This window comes from Homo sapiens, chromosome 18, assembly GCF_000001405.40.
Source record: "Homo sapiens chromosome 18, GRCh38.p14 Primary Assembly".
Classification (NCBI taxonomy): Eukaryota; Metazoa; Chordata; class Mammalia; order Primates; family Hominidae; genus Homo; species Homo sapiens.
The window spans coordinates 32,975,265-32,993,192 of record NC_000018.10 but is presented as its reverse complement, the minus strand read 5'-3'; the positions used below and the strand labels follow the sequence as shown (position 1 = coordinate 32,993,192).

Genomic DNA, 17,928 nt, shown 5'->3' with positions numbered 1-17,928 from the left:
AACAAAATCCTTAATTTTTTTTTTCTTCAGACAGAGTTTCATTCTGTTGCCCAGGCTGGAGTGCAGTGGTATGATCTCAGCTCACTGCAACCTCTGCCTCCCGGGTTCAAGCAATTCTCCTGACTCAGCCTCGAGAGTAGCTGGGATTACAGGTTTGCGCCACCACGCCCTGCTAATTTTTGTATTTTTAGCAGAGACGGGGCTTCACCATGTTGGCCAGGCTGGTCTCGAACTCCTGACCTCAGGTGAGGTGCCCTCCTTGGCCTCCCAAAGTGCTGGGATTACAGGTGTGAGCAACGGTGCCTGGCCCCAACATCCTTGAGTTTAATTAAAGGAAATATAATATTATCTTGGTCCATCTAATTTACGTTTTTAATTATATTTTTTAGGTGTCAAATAACAACTGTATATATTTATGGGGTAAAATGCAATACTTTGATGTATGTGTACATTGTAGAAAGATTCAGTCAAGCTAATTAAAATATCCATATCCATTGCCTCACCAACTTATCACTTTTTTGCGTAGGGTGATCATGCTTAAAATCTATTTCTTTAGCAATTTTGAAATATATAACACATTAACTGTGGTCACCATGCTGTGCAATAGTAAATATTTCTGCTTTATTCCTCAGAAGTCTCCTCATTATTTTACAGTTTCTATATACCTTTTCTCTTCCATTTTCTGTAAGTCTTCAAAATTCCCTCAGTTGCCACCTTGTCACTTTTTTTTACTTACTTTCAAAGCATCTTTTAAACACCCATGAGCCATAATTTAGGAATGACTGACCACATATAGTTTTGTGTATCATCCTCCTTGTTTTAAATTTAATATTCCAATTTAAAATTTGATCCAAAATGTGTATTTAGAAAAATTCAGAAAGTTTATCCCATTTTATAATGTATTTTAGAAACAGCAAAATCTTAGAGATTTGATAATCCCACATATCATGTAATGAGCAGAACAAGCTGTCAAAAGAACAAAGAATGGACTAGGTCTCCAAAAGCTCATTTACAGAAAATGAAAAGGATAAAAAAAATGCATTTGATTTGACAAGTTGTTACAGCGCTTATACTAACATGACAGAAAATATAATAAAATTGGTTCAACTATTACACTTTCATTTATTCCAAGGACTATGACCAAGTTTCTACATGTTGACTTACAGCTTATGTACCCACTTTTGAGGTGTGATTTGGGAAGACCTAAAAGTTCCCATTATTTCTGTACTTTATACCACAAACACAACACACTATCTAAAATTTCTATCATTAGATATAATCCCTTAGGTAAAGCAATGGGCAGATGTCCTTTTTAAATGCCTGGGGTAATTAACACAGAATTCTTCAGGAGCATTAAAATATGAAATAGAAATTCTTTATTTAGACTAGCTCATGCAGGGATGTGCCTGGAGGTGGAAACTCAAGATAAAGGGTGAAACAGAGAAAGTTTTGTTGGGACTGGGTATCAGAATACACCTCTGCATAAGCCTGAAGGAACAAACTGGGGACCAGCCCGAGACAGCATGGAGACATGAGGGGCTGGTGCAACTGTAGTGGGACATTTGGAAGAGGGGTGCAACATTTATTAAAGAAAGTAAAGAGCACAAATGTTAAAAATTTGCTTATTTACCATTTTGAAATAAAACTACCTTCTAGCTTACATGAAATCACCTCCTCCTATCTTGACACTACCACCATTTTCTCTTGTTAAGTCTGCGCCTCCACAGACTTTTTTATCTTTCATGGCTCAAATCACAGTTCATAATTGAATACTTGCTTGAATCCTTACTGGTGAAGTCCAGTTTCCCCCACAGGTTGTAAATGTCATTAGGCATAGTTATCCTGGCCCCTTATTTTCATTAGTGTGCATTTGACACCCTAAAAATTTATGTACACAATACCTAAATTTAACTGTTTAATTTGCCCGGCAAACATTTATCAAGTGCAATGATTAAAAGGATAGGATATGAAGTCAGACAGTCATGAATTTGAATACCGGCTTTACCACTATGTAGTATATTATTTGTTCTTGCTACTAAGAATCTTTTTTCCAGTCTGTAAAATGATAATAGCCCCCATTTTATGTAGAAGTAACTAAGATATTGAATGTAAAATATTTTGCACCATGCCTGGCATATAGCAAATGCTCATTAAATAATAATAAATATAAAATTATTATAATAATTTTTATTTAAAGCAGATAACTACTCATAATATAATTGATATAAAAGAGTATCTCACTGTGTTATTAACTTTCATTTTCCTAATTACTTGTAAGCCATTTGTGTTTTCTCTTGTGAAAAAAAAATCTTTTGCTCATTTTGCTATTGGGCTTTATGACTTTTCTTTTCTTTTTCATATTGGTATCAGTCATCCCTAAGATCTATACATAAATCCTGGACGCTAATATTTTGTTGATTATATATGTAGCAAATATCTCCTCCCAGTTATGGCTTCCCTTTTTCATTTTCATGGTGTTTTGGATGAACAAAGTTTTGATGAAATACAATTCAAAAATCTTTTTCTGTATGTATTTGAAGACATTTTCTTTTAATTTCTTCTGAGATTTTAAAAATTTGACTTGAACTTTTAAGTTTTTAATACATATGGAATTTAGTTTTACATATACTGTGAAGACTTGATGAATTTTTTTCACATTCAGAATCAATTGTCAAAATAATTAGTTTATCCATTCCTTATTGATTTGCAATGCCAACTCTTTATAACTTTAGGTTTAATATTTATGTGAACTTCTGGGCTCTCTACTTTGTTCTATTGATTACTACGTCTATTCTTATACCAAAACATACTGTTTTAAATACTGTCTTTGCAACAAATTTGATATATCGCAGGGCAAATGTCTCCGACTTGATTTCCTTATACAGTGTTTTGACTAACTTTTGCTACTTGTTCCTAAAATTTAATTTTATAATCATTTTTCCTAAGTTCCCTAAAGTGCACTGTTGATGAGAATTGCCTAGCTGTAGATTAATTTGTGAAAAATTGACATTATGACATTGATTCTTCATAGGCATGGCCATGGTTCCTTACATATTTAGTTAGATCTCATTCAGTATATTTAAAGAAGTCTTCCAATTTTCTCTGTATATATCCTACTCAACTCTTTAACAATAGTTCTTTCAAATTATCTTATAATTTGATGCTTTGTAAAAAAGTTTTTTACAGCTGCGAACAATGTATTTCCAGTGAATAAAATTATAATTGATTTCTAAATATCAATCTTACATGCAGCCTTTGTCAAAAGTTTCTCATTATTTCTTGTAACTTAACAGTAAATTATCTTGTATTATCTATATGAATAATCAATGGCAGGTTCTTTACTTTGACATATATGTATTTTTTTCTATATGTGAGTTTTTTCCTTATCTCACTACATTGCTCAGGCCCTCCCATATAATGTTGTATAACTACAGCTCACTGGCCAAATCTGGGCTGCCACTTGCTTTGTTACTGCTCATGAGCTAAAAATGGTTTTTATATTATTAAATGGTTTGGAAAATATCAAAGGAAGGAAATATTTGACACATGAAAATATATGACATGCAAATTCCATAATTAAAGTTTTATTGTAATACAGCCCAGTCATTTGTTTACATCTCTTCTATGACTGCTTTCAAGCTAAATCAATAAAGTTGAGTAGCTGCCACAGGTGGTTTGGCACACAAAGATTAAATATTTAGTATCTAGCTCTTTCCAGAAAAAAATGTTGCCAACCTGTGTATACAGAAACAAGATACTGATTGTTATTATCACATAAATGAGTCTTGAATTTTTTCAAATGCATCTTCTCCATCCAATAAGATGATCATATGGTTTCTCTCCTTTTCGGGGATTAATGTGGTGGGTAAAATGTATGTTTAGATTTCTTTTAAGTCTTGCGTTCCTAGAATAAATATCACCTGGCCATGATTAATTATGGTTTTATACATTGCTATGTTCATTTTACAAATACTTGCCACATATATTTTGCACATAAGTTTATAAGTAGAATTAAATTATACTTTTTGGTTTTTTTACTGCATTTATTGGATATTAGTTTTCATGTTTTGCTTGACTTCTAGAATAATTTGGGAAATATTCTCTCTTTTTCTATTTTCTGAAAGAGTTGGCATACAATTGGAAGAAACTGTGTCTTTAAAACTTGGAAAAATTATCCTATAAAACTTTCAGAGCCAAGTGTTTTCTGTATGAGGGCAATTTTAAACTACTAATACAATTTCTTTAGTAATTGTAAGAATATGTAGCTTTCTATTTTACAAGTCAGTTTAAGTTCTGTTTATTAGGACTTTGTCTATTTCATTTCATTTTAAATTTACTACATAAAATTACTCATAGTATTATCTTAACAATTTTAATTTCTACTATGTTTATCAATTTTTCTTTTGTTCAAATATTATTAATTTTTTACTTTATTTCTATTTCATTGTGTTAATCCTTGTGGAAGTTTGCATAGTTTATTGGTCTTTCCTAAGAACTCTGTGAATTTCCTCTATCATATATATATGGTTTCCATTTTATTACTCTTTTCCTACATTTTTGATTAGTTTATTCTGTTCTTTATATATTTTTTTAAATTTGGATGAAAAGCTCTTAATCTACATTTTGTCTTTTCTAATATAAGCATAAAAGACTATAAACCCCCTTAAGTATCATCTGTTTGCATCCTATGTGTTTGAAATTTATTTATTTAGCAATCAGTATTAAAGAATTAACTATTTATTTATTTATTTATTGTTGAGATGGAGTCTTACTCCGTAGCCCAGGCTGGCATGCAGTGGCACGATCTCGGCTCGCTGCAACCTCCGCCTCCTGGGTTCAAGCGATTCTCCTGCCTCAGCCTCCCGAGTATCTGGGACCACAGGCATACGCGACCACGCCCGAATAATTTTTGTATTTATAACAGGGACGGGGTTTCACCGTGTTGGCCAGGCTGGTCTTGAACCCCTGACCTCAGTCAGATGATCCACCTGCCTCAGTCTCCCAAAGTGCTAGGATTACAGGCGTGAGCCACCGCGTCAGCCAACAACTTTTTATGATTAATTTTGATAAATTTATTATTATTATTATTATTATTATTATTATTATTATTATTTTGAGACGGATTTTCACTCTTGTTGCCCAGGCTGGAGTGTAATGGCACAATCTCCGCTCACTGCAACCTCTGCCTCCCAGGTTCAAGCGATTCTCCTGCCTCAGTCTCCCAAGTAGCTGGGATTGCAGGCGTCTGCCACCACGCAGTAGAGACAGGGTTTCACTATGTTGTCCAGGCTGGTCTCAAACTCTTGGCCTCAGGCGATCCACCTGCCTCGGCCTCCCAAAGTGCTGGGATTACAGGCGTGAGCCACTGCACCCAGCCAAATGTATTATTTTTAACTTTACTCATAAATGTCTAAGGAGATATAGACATTTTTGTTTTGTTTGTTTTGCTTTCTGACTTCTAATTTAGTTGTTTTGTTGTCAGGAACATGGTTTATATCATGTCAGTTCATTGTAATAAAAGGCTTGCTTTATGATCTCATAAGATTTTATACAGTTTATGTTTTAATGTATATAAGTTACAAGTTTTAATGTTTCCGTATGCTTAAGAAGATGGTGTAATTTATAATTTGGGACATGTGCATGTATATCTGTATGTACACATATATATGCATATATACATATATATGCTAGATCAAGTTTATTAAGCCTGTCAATCATCACCATTATTTTAATTTTTGATTTGCCAAAATTGATGTGTTGATATCTATAGACCTAGATATATATATATGGATATGAGTAATCTCTATCTAAGAACACTATTTGTCTTAAGGTCTCTTTTGCCTACTATACTCAATGTTTCATTGTGCTAGTATATGCCTGTAATCAATAATTTTTTTTATTATTTAGTTTCTATCTTGACTATCTTTTAGTTTTTAATGTGTTTCATGTAAACTATATGTAAGCATCATTTTCTAAATCTAATCTTCTGCCTGTCCTAACTGAAAAATGTAATCCATATATGGTTATTGTAATCAATTATATTTTTTACCTCTTTCTAGTATCTCTTTGTTTTTTAATTGTTATATTTTTTTCTACTGCTTCCTTTTTCTCTCTACCTGCCTTTTTAGTTGATTGAAGACTTTTGTTTATTTTTTCTTATTCTATTTTTTCTCCTCCTTTTCTTGAAGGCCAAACCACTATATCTAACCTTTTATTTGAAATTTTATTTTTATTATACTTTAAATAGACCATGCATATTTAATTTAAAATATACTTGATATTTTATTTATTACAGCACATATTTTAACTATCATGCAATATACTGAGTTAGAGAATTTTAATTCAGACTTCTGAACTTCAGACATACATAATATTGTTATAAAACATTTTAGTTTCCATGATTCTTTTATACTCTTTAATTAGGTATTATAATTTTATTAGCATTGCTATTAATATTTCATACAGGGAATGTTTGTTTGACTTTACATATTTACCTGTTTTGTTGTTATTCACCATTCCTTCTTGCAACTCAGAGCCTCTCCATGAAATCATTTTCCTTTTTTCTGAATTACATCCTTTCTAGAAGGTTCAATAGAAATAAACTCTCAGTTTCAGTTTATCTAAAATATCTCTTTATTACCCTTGTTCTGAAATAATACTCTTCCTGGTAGTTTTTGTTTGTTCCTGCGAATCTCATTGTTTCTACTATGTATTAATATATTCAGTTGACTAGAAGTTAATAGATCTTCATCTCTATAAAACTTGTGTCCCAGTTTAAGATTGCTTTTTTCCAGAGACAATTTGCACTAGTTTCTTCTGCAAGCCAAGGGGAAAACAAAAACTTAGGAGTCCTCAGCTCTACTCTAGGCTTAGAGAGTATACATGCAGAGATCATTCACTTACCTGGAATTGGTGGCTACTCACTATTCAAGTTTCACTCATGGTTCTCCAGATTCTCTCATGGGAATTTCTTATGTGTTCTAAACCCATCAATGCAATAAAAATATTTGTATAAAGAATTGATTTTGTTTTAAAATTAAAGCACTCTTCAGAGTGTCTAGTGAACTCTTTTTTTCATAATTTTTCATTACATTTTGCCTATTCTCAAAATACATGGAATAAATTAACTAGGCCAAAAAACTCAAAACCCTGTCTAAAATGTTGTATCTCTATGTTAGAAACAGTGCAAAAACAAAAATATCTTTCTATATTAAGAATGAGTATTTTATATTGAATCCAGTTTGGTAGAACTATACTTGTTCCTTGCATGATTGGTAGAACTATACTTGTTCCTTGCATGAGACAATCAAGGTTCAAATGACACTAAGTCACATAGCCCAGTAATACCTAGATCTGCTTAGGTTTTCAAATATCCAGTGATCCTTCCTTCTACTGCTACCATAATAAATTTCCAGAGTGTGGTAGAACATCTGTAGTTTCCTTAATATGAGTCAATAGTATTCCATTTATATTAATCATTGCTATTTATATTCTTTTTAGATTCTTTGAGTATCTTCAATTTAGTTCACAATGTTTTCTGAAAGAATGGTATTAGTAACTAATGTAGAAAAAGCATTGTTTTATTATAAATATATTCGATAATATTTGTCATAACCTGGATTTAATTATATATACCAGTGCAAGCCAGCAAATGAGTTTATAAATTTTGGGCATCTGTGACAATTTGCACTACTTTTCAGATTTTCTTCTTACTCTTGCCATTCTTCTAGTGCTAGAACAATTCTAGATCACTAACAAGAAGCTAAGACAATAATAGGGTCAGAGTTTTGCATTCTAAATGAAGCTTATACTTTCTGACCCATGATTTTTATAGCTGTAGACTAGTTTCCACACTTAGGCTGTCCCGCATTGCATGATTGTGTGGCGTATTTTATTTACATTTGCAGTTGAATTTTTGCAAATTGTTTAAAACAAATAACTTCATAAGCATTTATGTTTACTTGTGTGTAAAAGAAATAAAAATGCTGGGGGTATTTATAATGAAATTTAATGTTTTAAAAGTAAAAATATACTATATTTCTTCTTGAAATTTTGAAATAAACCAATGAGCTCTATAATTAATCTTTTTCGAATAATGTTTTTATTGTGAATTAATTTTAGGTAAATGTAATTTTTAAAGCATTTTCTTGATTTTTTGCATTAAAATAAGTGGGTCTCAGAAGACTATAAAGATATACTGTGGATAATCATCAGAGAAAATTGCTCAACCACAGCTCATAAATGAAAACCGAAAGTGCCAACTTAGACCATTTATTTGGCCACATTTTAAAATCAAGGTACTTAATTACTTTTGGGCAAAAGACTGACAAGCAGGCAAGGAAGTGTATGCTTCAAAAATATGTTCATCTCTATGTTTGACAGTGTAATCTTTCATATTTAGCTGTCATGTAATTCTATCTTCAACCATTTTTGAACAATTATTCATTTGAGAAAAGTTAGATTTTTATTGTGAGGGTAATTTTATTTTATAATTTTGTTTTATTATTGGTTTAACAATTTTTTCAATCACAAGGAACAATAATTTTAGAATTAATCATATACGTTCATTCATTTATTTCTTATTGAACTGTTCATGGGATTTCAGTGTGAATTTTAGCAACTTAAGCAAAATATATAAACTACTGTCTTTACACATTTTTATCAAAATCTACCAGAATGCAGTAATTTTATTTCAGAACCAAATTATCAAACTAAGAAGGTTTTAAGTTTTGCAGGTTGTTACTACTATTAAATGTGAAAAAAGATGAATTATTATCTGTTATATGTAATAGTGTGTATTATCATTATAAAGTATACAAAGAAATACATTTGCATATTCATATAAAAGGATAGACTTGATTTTTAACTATTCAGTACAAAAATTAATAGTGTCTGTGTAGATCAGCTTTCTCTCTGTCATACCATGGTTTTATATATTAGCAGAGATCCAAATGCAGAATTATCGAATATATTATTTTTATATAATTAGAGTAATTAAATAATTCTTCTTTAATTTTCTTAAATGCCAGCACCAAAATTGGGAGTGCACGTGGGTCTTATTTTTCTTAAGTACATCTAAGCAGTTAATAAAAGCTATTTCCAGAAATGAGCTATGTGATCTTTAACACTAGTCTGTGAAATGGATTTGGTAATAAAGAAATATCTCATTACTTTTGATATTTGTATATTGTACATGTATAGCTTTGTAACTGAGTACTATAAATAGCTCAGTATTAACTGGATTTTTTATATCTGTCATTCCTGCCTTGCCAAAAATCTGTGGAGTAGTTTATAATTGCTATTGTTTGGGTTATTACAATAAACAGAACTGATAAGGCTTATGCTATTTGCCTTGTGAGCTGCACTTCACATCACTCTGTTGAATTAAAATTGCATGCACATACCTTCACTTATCAGTTTTATCTATCTGTCAGAAATTGAGAAACGCAGTGTGCTTTCAGTATGTGAAAACTTACAACAAGCAGATTGAAATTGTAACCATTATTTGAATATTCTAGTGCAAATAAATGAATGTATTTGTGCTATTATCTATCTACCTTCTTTCTATCTAAAATAAATTCCTATAGGAAAAGCTCATTATTTTTTCCAGATGGCCTTTATCGTATTTTGTCAAAGCTTTAAATATGATTTTAATTAGATTACCTAAGGTGCAAATGCAAATCTACAGGATACAGCATTTTTTTCTCTTCTTTGTCAAATGTGAATAAATCTTAGAGCTGCTTCTACAGTTGTACTATTTGTTTGACTGTGTTTGTAGATAGGAAATACGGACTTCTGAAATGGCTTCATTTGTAATATTTGTAATATTTCTATTCTTAGGTTGCAGGCTTCTTACCTAAGAAACTTCCAAACTCTCTGCCAATTATATCAGATGAACTCTCAAATTTTCAGGTACCTGTGATGAATTAATCCATGCATACACGTGCATCTTTCAGAAATACTGTAACCTCTAACAAGTGTCACACATTGTCACCACCATGTACCTACTCCCAATTCCCACTCCAGTGTACTGAGAAGTGGTTTTTTTTTTTTTAGATTTTATTTTTTAGAGGAGTTTTGGGGCTTACAGCAAAATGGAGTGGAAGGTACAGAGAGTTTCTGAATACCCCCTTTCCACATACATGCATAGCCTCCTCCATTATCAACAACCCATGCCAGCTGGTACATTTGTTACAACTGATGAACCTATATTGACACATCATCATCACTCCAAGTTCATACTTTAGGGTTCACTCTTGGTGTTGTACATTCTATGGGTTTGGACAAACGTATAATGGCATGTATCTGCCATTGTGGTATCATACAAAATATTTTCACCGCCCTAAAAACCCTGTGTGCTCTGCTAATTTATCCTGGGAGGTAATTTTTACTTCAAAAATTTGGAATTGTTCCACACTTTTCATACTTGTCCTACATGTTGTATTGATAAAGATTGTTTATTGCAGCGATTCTGTTAATTTTCTGTTTGGATTCTGTATCTAATGGGTTTTCATGTTGCATGTGGAGAAATTCTATGTTCTTTTCAACTACCAGTTGAAACTGGATCTGTATAAATTCCAGTTTTTATAAAGATGTTTTTCATCCAAAAAAGTATAAATAAGGTATTTTCAAAAATCCCTTTCACAGATTTGAATCCAGCAGTTGTATGTTTTCACAAATCCAGAATGAACAAATTATTATTCATAGACAAAGAACTGTGAGTGCTGTTCATGCACTGTCTACCCTGCCAGTTACTATCATCTTTGTATTCTAAAGGACTTTTTGTTTTCAGTATTGACTGGTCTTTGTTTCCTGGCAAAACAATTTATAGTTCATTTTCAGATAACTATACATATGGTATTTGTATTTTAATTAAAAAGACTGTTGTGATGTCTGATTCTTATAAGGAGAAATTCATTATAAGGACACTTCTCATTTCCTTGAAACGTTCCCTTTCTTTTTTTCCAGGGTTCTTAAATTGCAAAAGCCAGTTAAATGATGTGCTTTGGGGAGTTAATTTTTGGTACCATATGTCTCTAAAAATGATTTAATTTTATCCAAAGTGTGTTTTCAATGGTATTTATGTTCTGTAAGACACAGACACAATTTAAAGAATTTTTAAGGAAAAAACATACTAGTCATTATTTCAACACATTAGCATATGACACGTGTATAAGCTGACAAAAATATCTGTTTATTAAGGTTAATATATTTTTAACATCTGGGCTCTATGGTTACCTTTTGAAACTAGCAAATTCAAATTCTCATGAAAATATTTTACATATGGCAATCTTTAATTTCATATGAAATAAGTTATGAAGTCACTAACCAACAACTGTGTTAATTGTATGAGTGGGATGAAGGAAAATACCAATAATTTTATGAGGCAGCTGAAAGTAGTAATTTTTTCCTTAATGATATAAACTCAGTATTTCAGATATTTTGTTTATTATAGGTAAGATCACATTTAGTGGGTATATAACAAAAATATTGTACAAAAAGCCATTTTTATATTTTGACAGATGGTCACGTATAATAGGATACCCTTAACAAACAAATTATAATAAATTCTCTGAAAGTAAATCATTCTAAGCCACAAAATGTGGAGGATGCCTTTCTTGCAGAGATGTCACCTTAACATAGGTTTTGTTCTTTAAAGAAACAACTAAGCATGCAGTAATTTACAGAGTTATATATAAACTATAAGTAAACAAGTTTCTAATAAATTTCTGTGTAACCTTACCAGCTTAGTAAATCCTGACATTTTCTATATTTGTTTTGCATGTTTAAACCAGTATAGATGCATTCAAAATCCTCAGTCTGCCTCTTCCTATTATTATTCCCCTCCTTCCTCGTGGTTAATTAACCTTTTGTGTTTACCATTCCAATTTTTTTAATGCCATTTTTACATAGTGATAAAATTAAAACAAAAAGTATTATTTGTAAGATTTTTTTGTTTCTCTAACATACATACCACCTGCAATTTTAATGTGTTTATTTTATTTTATTTTTTTAGAGACAGAGTCTAACTATGTTGCTTAAGATGGTTTCAAATTCTTGAGCTCGAGCAATCCTCTTTGGCTTGGCCTCCCAAAGTGCTGGGATTACAGACATGAGCCACCACATACGGCCAGTGTGTTTATTTTAAATGCTGTGGTTTAGGGTATGAACATACCATAATGTATTTTTCATTACTTCAAAGACAATTAGATTGTTTCCAAATTTTTACTATAGCAAGTCTAGAGTATGTAGCTTTAAGTATAATTGCTGGATCAAAGGGAAAGTACAACTTCATTTTCAATACGAAATTGTAGTTTGTTCTCCAAAGTTTTTGTATCAAATTATACACAAATTTGAACAGCATATGAGTTTAATTTTTTTCACATCTTTACCAAAATTTGATATTGACAGATTTTGTTAGTATTTGACAATATGATGAGTTTGAATTTTATTTATTCATATCCTACTATTAAAGTTGAAAAACTTTTCAAATGTTTTCAGGCCAAATAGCTTTCCTTTTATGTGAATTGCCTATGTGTATAATTTGCCCATGTTTTTCTGGTATACTGTTTCTATTTTTATTATTGACTTATAGGGGCTTTTTTTTTTTTTTTTTTTTTTTGAGACGGAGTCTCGTTCTGTCGCCCAGGCGGGAGTGCTGTGGCGCGATCTCCGCTCACTGCAAGCTCCGCCTTCCGGGTTCACGCCATTCTCCTGCTTCAGCCTCCCGAGTAGCTGGGACTACAGGCGCCCGCCACTGCGCCCGGCTAATTTTTTGTATTTTTAGTAGAGACGGGGTTTCACCGTGGTCTCGATCTCCTGACCTCGTGATCCGCCCGCCTCGGCCTCCCAAAGTGCTGGGATTACAGGCGTGAGCCACCGCGCCCGGCCGGGCTTTTTATATGTTAAAGAAATTAATCCTTGTCTGCTGTATTATTAAAATCTTCTCTAAACCTGCAGCTTATATGGTTACTCTGTTTAAATTTAACTTAAAAAAATTAAATGTGGTTAGATTTGTCAATTTTTTTTCCATTAGAAGTTATCATTTTAATTTTTATTTAAAAATTCTTCCTTTCCTCAAAGCCATAAAGTTGTGTCATGTTTTTTTAAAAAATTGTTAAAGATTAACTTTCCTCATTTCAATCTACTTTACTTTTATTTTCCTTATGTTGTGAGTTAAGGATCTCATTTTATTTTATTTTGCATGGAGCTAGCCAATTATTAGCCATCCTTTCCGCACTGATTTGTAGTGATATCTCTGTCATATGTTACATTTTATATGCATGTGTCTGTTACTCAGCTCTCTTTGCTGATCAAATGCTCTCTTTGGATGATCCTAATATTACTCTTAATTCCTACAGCTTTAAGATAAATTATATATATCACATGTCAAATTTTTCAGGCTTGTTCTCTTGTTTCACAGTTGTCTCATTACATATTCTCAGTCCTTTATTCTTCCATGTGAATTTTAGATCAACTTTCATGAAACCTGATGAGATTGTAGACTACTTTGTGGAAAACTGATTTGTCCATGACACTCTTTTCTCATATATGACCACATTATACCTCCAGATTTATTCAGTCTTTATTCTTCAAAATATTTTGTAACTTTCTTTATAAAATCTTGCCCATTTTTAATAGATATAAACCTAAGTACCTTTCATTTTATTTTATGGTAATAAATAGGATTTTTCTATTACAATTCAAAATTGGTCATATTGATTTATAAAAATGGACCGGGCGCAGCGGCTCATGCCTGTAATCCCAGCACTTTGGGAGGCTGAGGAGGGCAGATCACCTGAGGTTAGGAGTTCAAGGCCAGCCTGCCCAACATGGCGAAACCCTGTCTCTACTAAAAATACAAAAATTAGCCCAGCGTGGGGGCAGGGGTCGCCTGTAATCCCAGCTACTCGGGAGGCTGAGACAGGAGAATCGTTTGAACCCAGGAAGCAATGTTGCAGCGAACTGAGATCGCGCCATTGCACTCCAGCCTGGGCGACAAAGTAAGACTCTGTCTCAAAAAAAAAAAGTTATTAATTTTTCAGTGCAGATATTATAGGCAGAAAGCTCCTAAACCCTCATCACCTCCATTTGTTGTTTTGTAGAGCCTCTTGGATTTCTCATATAGACTTTTTTTTTCTCTCTTTTTTTTTTTTTAGACGGATTCTCACTCTGTCTCCCAGGCTGGAGAGGAATGGCGCGATCTCTGCTCACTGCAACCTCCGCCTCCCTGGTTCAAGCGATTTTCCTGTCTCAGTCTCCTGAGTAGCTGGGCCTATAGGCAACCGCCACCGCGCCTGGCTAATTTTTGTATTTTTAGTAAAGACAGGGTTTCACCATATTAGTCAGGCTGGTCTCAAACTCCTGACCTCAGGTGATCCACCCGCCTGGACCTCCCTAAGTGCTGGGATTACAGGCGTTAGCCACCGTGCCCGGCCTTTTCTCTAACTCTTATAGCTATCTTTTGTCCTTCTGCTTTTTTATTGTTTCGACAAGAATCTGCAATACAATTTTAAAAAGGGGTATTGATTTCTGATATCCTTACTTTATTTTGCCCGACATCCCCAGGAAGATTTCTGAAGTTTATTTAGTAAAATGTTTGATGGAAGTTTTTGATTTATACCTTTTATCAGGTAAACTTTTATCAGTTCAAGTTGGGTCCATTTTAATAAACATTTATCAAGTGATCACTGCTGACATCTTAAAATGGGTTTTTTTCATAATCACTTTCCTAAAATAATTGTTGTCATACCTATTTGATATAATCAATCATTCTTTGCAGCATCTTAGTTGTTTTTCCTTAAATATTCTTTTGAATAGTCTTTTTGTCTTTCGTGTGCAAATGTGTTTGTGTGCATATGTTATTTTATTGGATACTGGTTCTTCTCTCTTTAAGATTGTCTTTAATTCTTCCTTTTCCTGGTTCTTGTTTTTCCATAGGCCTATTAGCTATTGATTTCCCCGCAAAAAAAAAAAAAAAAAAAAAAAATCTTTTTTGAGATATTACTCTTTCTTAGTTGATCCTTAAAAACTTCTCTGTTTAAGAGGCTTCAGTTAACATGTGAATATGGATAAATTCAAGGCCTTTATGGCTACCTCAAGCTAGAATACAGACAACTGAATAAAAACAGACACTGCATACAGCTGCTTCTCCTCATTTGACTTGTGGCTGTAGAAAACATTACTATTCAGTTTGCTTTGTTTACACATGCTGAAGCGCTCCCACTTGCAAAATTTACCTTGTTGTTAAGGAATTCCTCTACAGCTCATCTTTCCATTACTTGCTTTTTATCATATTTGTGGCTACTTTAATAGTATTAATTTATTATTTTCTTTGGCAAACAAATCTTTGTTCATAGGTGTAGTTCCGAGTATCCTAGGATCTCTTGGGGGAAATAATAAGGTATTCTGAGAGCTAAGCTGGCTCCAAATAACTACAGCCTTGGAATAAGAAAAATACTAGAGAAAATTAAAGTGGTATTTTGCTGTAGGTGACTTTTCACTGAGATATCTGATTCCACTCAGTAAGGCTAAGAGTTCATCCTACAGCCGTTCTTTGAAAATCGTTTATTTCTGGCTTATTGCTGTGAACTTTTCTTGTCTTAATAGTCTATTGTCCAATTTTTGTACAAGGTAGGCTCCCATTTGTTGTTGTCTTAAAAATTCCAAATTACAACGAACTAGTAAAGTAAGGTCTGAGGTAGACAATAATTTGAAAACCTATGCTATGTGGTAAGGTTTTATCATGCACTTCTTACTAATGTCTAACAAGCATATCTAGATGTTCATTTTGCATCACAGCCTATTTTCCAGGAAACTCTGTGGCAAAGGTCTACGGAACCCTTGGGTGTTTCTAGCAGTCTTTATGACTATCCTTAATCTAGAAGTGACTGCTAAAATATCAGAGAGAGAAAGAGAAAAGCCATTGAACTTTAACTGATATGGCATCATGGTTAATAACTTAAACTTTAAGTTAGACGGAATTGAATAACCTAAAGCAAGTTAACCTCTTTAAAATATAGATTTCTCAGCTGTAAACGGGGGTTAATCAAAGAAGCTATCTCAACAGGCCCACTGTGAATACAATCAACCTATGAACTGTGTTGTTTAAATAAGTCACATTGACAAGAATTGAGAAAGTTGACAGATTATTTGTCTTTGTTAAGAAAATAGCAAAAATCTAATCTCTTCAGAGCCTCCACCCACAACAGACAATTTATAGTTAAGCATCATTTAGCAAATTGTATTTATCTATAAGATTATGGCCTCTTCATTCAGGATGTTTACCTCAGCAAACAATGTATTTAGGTAGTATATAAAGAACTATACTGCAATATGTGTTTCAAAATATATTTCCACATGTAATTTCAGAAATGAGATATCCTGTTAGTAAAACTGATTGATAATTTTATTTTTTAAGCAAGTAAAATTTCCTTCACACTCATTTCATTTTTGCCCTTTAAAAAAATCTGTAAACTGCAAGGTCATATTTTAATAATAAAGACCAGTATAAAAATCACACAAATTTCAAACATATATATGCTATGAAATTATTTTCAGGAATATTTGTCATGGTTCTTTTTTTCTGCTATTAATGTTTACTTGACACAAATGTCAGCTTCTTTAGCCTTGTCCACTGTTTCAAATTGAAGTAATATCTAATTTAAATATACATGTGCTCTGCATCTTATTGTTAAAGCAAATTTAATTAATATTATTTAAATCATTGATGCATACATTAGGTAATACAGGGCTAGTGCTACCTCCTATGGATCATTCCTGAACCCCCAATACCCAGACCCTTCTCCTGTCCCTGAACAATAATTACAGTCTTAATATGACTCTTTATGTAGTTGTGAACATACACAATGAACTAAACTTTTCAAATGTCTTAATGAGTATATCAAGATACAGCATACCTCCCCACATTGACTGTCAGGCTTGGCTAATACTAAAGAAAACACAATTTTTTTTAAGTTTGACAAAATTTCTCTTCAAATAATAATGCTAAGTTTTAATTTAATAGCCCAAATTATCTGAAATGCCCATAAACTGGTTCTGGACAATGTAATTCAGCATTTAGTAAGCTGAAATACCTATAGTTTTCAAAGTCTTTTCTTCTTCCTAATCAACTAACCAAAAATAGAGGCTTTATTTTCCTGGGAACCAAACACAAATACATATGTGTTATTTATAACAATGCATAATGAGGATAATGATGGTAAACAATTTACATGCAATACCAAGTATTTAGTTAAGTGAATTGTTTTATTGAAATATATATACAAAAGCATTCCCAAATTTTACATACACTCTTTATTGATGTTTTACAGAGGATCCTGCATATGTAACCCATCAGATAGCCACATTTTTCACATGTTTTTACTCTGGTATGAGGAAGTATTTAATATAAAAATTGTGTTTGATATTATATGTTTGGATGTGAATTTTGTTTTTTCATTCTGCAAAATATGCTAAAAATGAGCTGATATCAGCAATTATCCACATCCCCAAAACCAAGAGTTTTCAGTGACAGAATGTATTATATTGTATAAACATATGATATATACATTCATTATAAATATATAATATAAGCATTCATTATAAATGTTTGGGATTTTTAAGAAACTGTTTTTACTGTTAATTTTATGTTTATCCCTTTGAAAATGCCTTATTATAATAATTCTGTATGGCGTGCCTACGGTAACTGGTGAAGGGCAAATGTACATTGTTTTGATAAAACGTCCACTGTTTTCTTTTGGTTTTTATATTAAATTTCCAAATGATCTAGCACATGTCATAGGTGAATTCTTTCTTTTTCTGTACAGATCCTGTATTAAACATGTCACTTCTTAACACCGCATCCACTATGCTTTAGTGCAGTGAGATGTTTCCATGTCACATGGTCAGAGGGAGGTAGATTAATAG

General features: G+C 32.4%; 1 protein-coding gene across 8 annotated transcripts in view; it reads left to right on the top strand.

The window, feature by feature from the left end:
* CCDC178 (coiled-coil domain containing 178) overlaps positions 1-17,928 on the top strand; it is a 503,635-nt gene that overhangs the window by 447,848 nt on the left and 37,859 nt on the right. For 5 of the 8 annotated variants that reach the window (NM_001371120.1, NM_001308126.3, NM_001371121.1 and 2 more), the window contains one exon: positions 9,841-9,912. The exons of the other annotated variants lie outside the window; for them this stretch is intronic. In NM_001371120.1, the coding sequence (NP_001358049.1) occupies positions 9,841-9,912 (72 nt within the window). The remainder of the gene's footprint in view (positions 1-9,840; positions 9,913-17,928) is intronic. 8 annotated transcript variants of the gene reach the window in all.